The 6,806-nt window shown below is 56.1% G+C and overlaps 1 protein-coding gene across 105 annotated transcripts in view; it reads right to left on the bottom strand.

Moving 5' to 3' along the window:
• MADD (MAP kinase activating death domain) overlaps positions 697-6,806 on the bottom strand; it is a 60,844-nt gene continuing 54,734 nt past the window's right edge. For 46 of the 105 annotated variants that reach the window (NR_164841.1, NR_164842.1, NM_001376651.1 and 43 more), the window contains 4 exons: positions 6,391-6,463; positions 6,151-6,257; positions 2,024-2,070; positions 697-1,682 (listed from right to left, as the gene is read on the bottom strand). Coding sequence is in view for 97 of the 105 variants with exons in the window: in NM_001376651.1 (NP_001363580.1) it covers positions 2,047-2,070; positions 6,151-6,257; positions 6,391-6,463 (204 nt within the window). In the remaining 8 variants the exon portion in view is untranslated. Of the gene's footprint in view, positions 1,683-2,023; positions 2,071-3,920; positions 3,991-4,175; positions 4,185-5,394; positions 5,467-6,150; positions 6,258-6,390; positions 6,464-6,806 lie in introns of all 105 variants that reach the window. The other 59 variants (NR_164837.1, NR_164838.1, NM_130470.3 and 56 more) reach the window with 5 other exon arrangements.

The raw sequence follows: 6,806 nt of genomic DNA, 5'->3' as shown, positions 1-6,806 counted from the left end.
CAATAAGCCAGCAGCGGGTTCAGACCCATATCCCCGGTGGGAGACAGCAACCCAATCCAGTCCAGGACGCTGGGCACCAGAAAGGTGTCAGGGCCAGGGCCCCACTCTGCTCTCACTTCCCCCATGGGGAGCCTAAATCCGAGCATCTGTTTCCTTTTGGGCGCGGGAAGCCAGCAGGTCTCAAATTCCCTGAGAGTGCAGCCAGGTTTTTCCAGGACAGAATTCCATGAAGGCAGCTCCTAGGGGAGCTTCTGGGAGTTCTATGCAGTGGAAGACACTCCTGGCCAGGAGTCCGGGGCCCTGTGGGAGGCCCTGGCTGAATCACCACACCTCTCTCGACCATACCCACCTGTAAGGGAACGGAGAGGGCCAGGGCCTTGGCTTTCTTTCACTTAATCTCAGTTCAGGTGAGGACGCCCAGTCTGGCTGCTCCCTCTAGCAGCCTGTTCATTCATGGCAGCCCAGCTCTCTGCAGGGCCCTCAGGTGCCCAGGAAGGAAAGCTCCTCCCGCAGCCTTGCTCTAGGAGCCCAGAACAGGGGAGCTGGGGCCTCCGTGTGCCAAAGCTTGGACATGGATGACCTCATCTCCTTCCTTCCTTCCAGCCTGAGGTGACTTTTTAGAGTCCAGGGATAGCTTTCCTCAGGCCTGAGCCAAGAGGAGGTGTCATTTAACACAAGGCAGCCAGGGAGCCTGAAGGGAGTTGAGGACATTTATTTCACATTCACACAACTGTACATTTTCTATAAATAATGTGGGGCTGAAATATTTACAGTCATTTCTTGCCCATACCCAGGCTGTCTCTCCCTCCTGACACCCCGTGCCTGGAGAGACAGCCTGCAGACAGATGTGCAAACCCAGCTTGGTCTTTCCTGCCCCCTCCCTGATGCTCAGGCAGAGCAGCCAGCGGTCCCTGGGACTCCACTAGCCTCGACCACTCCATCCTCTGATGCCGAAGGCATGGCAGGCCACAGGGAATTCGCCGCTCCACTGCAGTCACAGAGGCTGTGGCAGGCAGCAGCCAACACTGCGGGCCCTGGGCAGTAGCTGCCGGCTTGGGAATGCAGAAGGAAGCAGGGAGGCTGCCACTCACTCCGGCTGCCCCCCAATTCTTCCCTTCCTCTCTGTGCCCTTCCTCTGAGAGGGTGAGCCCCAGGGTTCCCTCACTCCTCACAGAGTGAAACTGCTCCAGGCGCCCAGTCATGCCGGGTCACAGAGAAGGGAGAGCCAGACTCTTGCAGTGGACAGTTATAACGCCAGGGACAAGGACAAGGAACCACAACACAAATGTCTCAAGGACACAAAATAGTGGGTTCACACCGGCCCCACAGACTGTACACATTCTTGAGCCCTGAGGGGAAGGCAGTTTGGTCTTCTGGGAGTGGAGAGGGAGAAGGTGGACACGCTCAAGACACACTCAGAGGGACACATAACCGGTAACCAACCAAGCCACAGCAGGGGGCTTGCAGAGGACACACGAGCATCATCCACTCCTCAGTCACAGCAGCATCGTGCACTTGGGAACAGCAAGGGGCCAGGGGCGTGCCCTGGGCTGGGGCAGCTGCGTAGCCCCTCTCCATCAGCTAGAGACAGGCCGGGGCGGGGTTCTGAGATCTTCCTCACTGCTATGAACTGCAGCCACGTACGAGAAGAGACATAATACGGAGTAGCAGATTTCGTGGGCCTAGAGGAGAGAAAACCAGGCGGATCACGATACTGAGACTCCTCCATCTCCATATGTGAAGGATCTGCCAATGGGCAACTCCTGCCCTAACACTGGGCATGGGCCTCTGGGCTAAACGTGAGCTCCAAGCAAGGAAGCTGTCCCCATGGGAGAGGGGATCCGTGTGTGTGTGTCTGTCTCTCAGGGCTCAAGACCTGTTTCAGCCTGAGTTGAACCTTTGGCAACAAAACGAGGTCCCCACTCACCCCTGTGCGCTCAGAGGGCCCTCCCCTCCTCCTGTCCGAAGGTCCCCCAGGGAGCCCTGCGCACCGTGGCCCATCAGGGTTGAGCGGCACACTCACCATTGGTGTCTTGTACTTGTGGCTCACCACTTCTTTAATTTCAGGAACTAAAACCGGACGGGCAAGAGACAAAACAGAAAGTTCAACACTAAGAGCAATCGTGCCATGCTCCCCCAGGCGGCAGCGCCCGGCGTCAGGGTCCCCTTCCCCTCTGTGGCCTCTCACAGTGGCTGCAGCAGCTTAGGCTATGACAGGGCAGAGGCCACCAGAGGCTCTGTCCAGACTCTGCCAGCTGGGAGGACATGGCCCTAGCCTCCTCAGCTAGGCCTCTGTCATCCGCAGTGGCGTTTACTTGATGGCCGTGATTCTACCCACTTCTTTGAAAGCCCTGGATGGGAGGGACGGGCCTTTCACCAGCCTGGTCACAGCTACTGTCCAGGGCCCCTGAGGAGCTGCAGTGGGGAATTCCCAGGTTTTGGCTGGGAGGAGAGAGCTCTCTCTAGCTTGTGTCCAACTTTGCTGAGACACCCGTGAACTCGTCACCAGCCTGAAAATTGGGTCATGTTAAACACAGTTCCCGTTATTCCCAGCCCCCTACACAGAGGGTCTTGAGGCTGGATGAAGAGGTAACATGATATAAACCCACAGGATGTGGCAGTGTCCTTCCCTGAGTGGCAGGAGAAGCCCAGACCTGCCTGTGTGAGGGAGAGCGTCTGAGGGCTCTGGAGCAACACACCCAGCAGAAGACAGGCGAGTACAGCACCCAGGGAGGGAGGTGACAGGGAGCATCAGGCAAAATACACACATGTCCACAGCCCAGAAGGCAAGAGTGAGAGTCCCCCCGCTCCAGCCATGCAGGGGTTCTGCTTGGCCAGAGGAAGGAGTAGGCCCCCCAGGCTCAGCCACCATCATGGCCCCTTGAGACTGGGAGCAGAGGGGCCTGGCATCTCCCTGGGGGCCAGAAAAGGCAGGAGGAGAATTGGCCGTACCTTCTTCTGACCCTGGGAGGTAGAATTTGGGGGAACCCAGGGTCAGCAGGGAATAAACTCATCAAAGGTAGAGCAAGAAGCCCCAGGCCATTCTCCCGAGTTGGAAGATTCCCCCAAGTATCTCTCTGACAGAAGAGAGAAGGGAACACACGGGGAGGAAAGTCCAGTGAGCCGGTGAGAAGGGGGAGGCAAGGTAGGAAGAAAGAGGGTAGGGGAGAAAGGAAGAGACGAGCTGGCAGTGTGAGGAGCTGGTTCGATGGGAGCTACCCACCCAGGGCAGGGCCCAAGGCAGAGACCTGGGGAGAGGCAGCACGAGCCGAGGTCACTTTACCTGCTGGAGAACGAAGGTTTTCATAGCAGCGATGAGGGGCACAAAAGAATGAAGCACAAACACAGCAGGAACTCAAAGCCCCAGGGTGAGAACCCACTACACCACTCCCTAGCGCTGGCTCCCAGCTTCCGGCTACAGCTGTCCCGCTAGACTCCTCTGTCCCTCAAGTGAGTCTGCCTGCGACGCCCGGTGCCCCTTTGTCTGGCACAGAGGCCAGGTGGAGACCAGAGCGGCGCCAGGGAGGCTGGCTAGCGCACTGGGCTGCTAGAGAGATTGCAGCAGGTGACATGGACATAGTGGAGCTTGGGGGTCGCCAGTCTGCTGTGTCCCAAACTTTCTGACCACTGGCTGGCCCAGCACGGGGAGGTGGTGCTACTTCACTGAGCTGCTTCAGGACCACCTCTAAACTCGAAACCCACCTGAGGCCCCATTTGCTCTTCTGCGATCCATTATCTATCTTTCCCTTCCACATCCCGGCTCTCATCTCAGGGGTCCCTTTTCTTCCTTGTCACTCCTGCTCCTCCTGACTTCTCTACAGAGGTTCTTCTTCTCCCTGCCCCTAGACCCTCCTCTGGAGCTCCGAGGTTTGAGTTACTGCCATGTGAGTCCAGACCTAAGAGCAAAATAGTGTAATTACCAAATTCCTCCAGGACAAAGACGCCTCGAACTGTATTGCACTTTTTAATGTGATTCAGCTCTATGAAAACCTGCAAGAGAGGGAGGGAGGCCGGGGTAAGGCCCACAGGCTCCACCCCTGCCCCACACAGCACACTCTCCCAGCTACAGCCCCACCCACACAAAGAAAGTCTATTTCCCAAAGAGAGGACAGAAGAATCCACACGCACACAACTCAAAAGCGCTAAGAAGCGAAGATAGCAGAAAGGGCATGTACCTTCCGCTCCTGGCCGGAGGAGAAAGCATGGGAGAGAAATGAAGGCGTTAGTTTGAATGGTCAAACCCAACCCGAAGGCCCTGCTGCTGGCCTGGGCTGCCCGCCCGTACCCTCTGCCCAGGGCAGTGCTTGTAAGACACAGTGCCCCAGGGGTCCCCACTCAGCCCATTAGGTCTCTACCCTTCCATGCATCCTCCTCCGGCGCAGAGGGCTGGCACGGGCGCAAAGCTCCCCTCAGACTGTCCTCAGGGTGGGAGGTGTTGGTATCCTCCTTGAAACAGGATCCAGGATCTCCCAAGAGGTATGTGGTGATAATAATATCAGCTACCACTTGCTGAGCACCTACTTGGGGTTTTACAAATACGATTTCTAATCTCTGCACCTACTACGTGACACAGTAAATAGTATTACCCCCATTTTCTACATGAGGAAACTATGGATCAGAAAGTTTCTTTGCCCATGAACGTGGAAGCTGGGCTTCAAATCCAAGCATGTCCTCACACCGAAGCCTGTGCTTTTCCCATTTACCCCAGACTGCACAGCTCCACCAGGAGGTCTGCTGCCTCCTCCACTCCAACTGAACACTGTGTGGCAGAATAGGGGGCAGGTCGCTATCTCATTACTAACTGTGAGGTGAGATTGAGAACCCGGGCTTTCCTCCCCTTCTCTGCAGTCTATCTTCTAGGGGCCAAGCCTTCAACCACAGACTGGCTTGGATGGCTGCCCAGTGGGGCTATGCCAAGGGCAGGACGAGGAACAGGGCAGAGCACCTGGGCGTTGCTCAGCAAGATCTCATCTTCAGAGGCCACGGCGCTAAAATGTGGTCAGAAGTCTGCTCCCCAAGAAGTACTGACACCTTTGTGGTCCAGAAAAGCACTTAGGTAGACCCCTCTCTGGGATGGTCCTAAGGTCTTTGGGGTTGGCTACTGCCCTAAGTCCTAAATTGAAAATATACTAAGGGGCTGCTGGCAGCCTGCGCAGCCATTTCCTGTTAAACCAAAGCTGCCCAGCTACGTTCCTGAAAGAGAGCTACAACGGCTAGCGGAGGGAGGGAGACAGCCACGTCAGTCAGGCATCCACCTCCCCTGAGGGTCTGCGGCCTGGCCAGGGTCTGTGGGGCTTCACACATTTGGGTCTGGCTCAGAGCCTCAGGGAGAGGAACCCGGACATCAGGGAAAGAGGAGGGAAGGCACTTGTGTGAGGAGTCAGAGCTGTGAACGGACCTGGGATGATGCGCTGGCCTCAGAAAGGAATTAGCTTAAGGAATGTCCACTGAGAGAAAAAGGTAACACTGTGTTAAAAGACCAAGAGAGAAAAAAAAAAGTCAGCTCCTATGGTGGAATTACAATGAGGGAAAGATGTATCCACAAGTGCTCCCCAATCAAAAGAAAGGGAATGGGGCCTGTGGAGCAGGGGACAGAGTGGGAACACTCAGAGGAAGGAAAAGAACAGGAAGAAGAATCCGCAGAAGAAAAAGGCAAATAAACACACTCCAGAGAGGACAGATACAAGCTACTTACACACAAGCACGCAGGCACGCACGCACGCACACGCAAGCTGCACGCACACCAGAAAGACACAAGGAGATCGGCCAGTCTAGACTCTCAAAGCAAAACCACCAAGCAGAAGCATATCCTGGGAATAGAGGAAGGCAGAGACACTGCAGGGGAAGGGCCAAGTGAGACGCTCCCACTCACACTGTGTGGAGTCCAACGGATGGGGCAGCGTGGCCACCTGGCCTCGCTCCTGCCCAGCCTCCCCCACGGGCTCCCTGGTGCACCTTCACAGCGCCAGGTGGTCGCCAACGTCACTGTGCCCTCCCCTGGGGTTTCTTTCCTGGGTCCAGCTGCTCCAGTTCTCCCTCTAGCTCCAGAGGGCCCTCTCTCATGCTTGCTGGGGAAGTACTGGGGGCTTGGACATTGGTCCTTCTTACAGATGGAACGACAGGGAGCCTCGTGCTGCCGCTCGCACCTACCTGATTGTGCATGAATTTGAGGTTGATCCCTTCCAGGGTCACCTGCAGCAGGCCACCCTCACCAGTCTTCAGGTCCTGCACAGGGAACTCGCCACCCAATTCAGGTCCTGTGGTGAGGGAGGGGGCTATCAGCTCACTGGTGAGGTGGGGAATCCCACCCCTGACTTCCCTGCCAGGCCCCTGACACTCAGAAGGACTGGTAGAAACAGGGAAGACACTCTCAGGAAAAACTCTCCTCACCGGGTTTGATGCTTTGCTGTCGGGCGGCAGCGCGCTCCATGCTGTCCTTCACACAGTAGTACAGCTCCCGACACTGTGGCACAGGGGGAGAGTGGTCCCATCATGAGGGCTGTCCAGGGTTCCCCACCCACTGCTCTATAATGGCCACTGAAGGCTGGAGGTTGAAGTGAGGGGTAAAATTTTAAGTAGTCCTCCTATTTTTCGGATGTCTTATTCATTGTTGAGGTTATGAATGATAGATCCGGAGCATATGAATAGTATGGCTTTAAAGAAGGCATGGGTACAGATGTGTAGGAATGCTAGATATGGTTGGTTAATACCGATTGTGACTACTATTAGGCCTAGTTGGCTTGACAGAGACAGCTTTAGGTACTCCACCCAACAGCTGGAGACAGAAGTGTGGCTCCAGATGTGTG

Source organism: Homo sapiens, chromosome 11 (genome assembly GCF_000001405.40).
Source record: "Homo sapiens chromosome 11, GRCh38.p14 Primary Assembly".
In the NCBI taxonomy this organism is placed as follows: Eukaryota; Metazoa; Chordata; class Mammalia; order Primates; family Hominidae; genus Homo; species Homo sapiens.
Note: the sequence above shows the minus strand (reverse complement) of the source record. Positions and strands in the feature narration are given on the sequence as shown.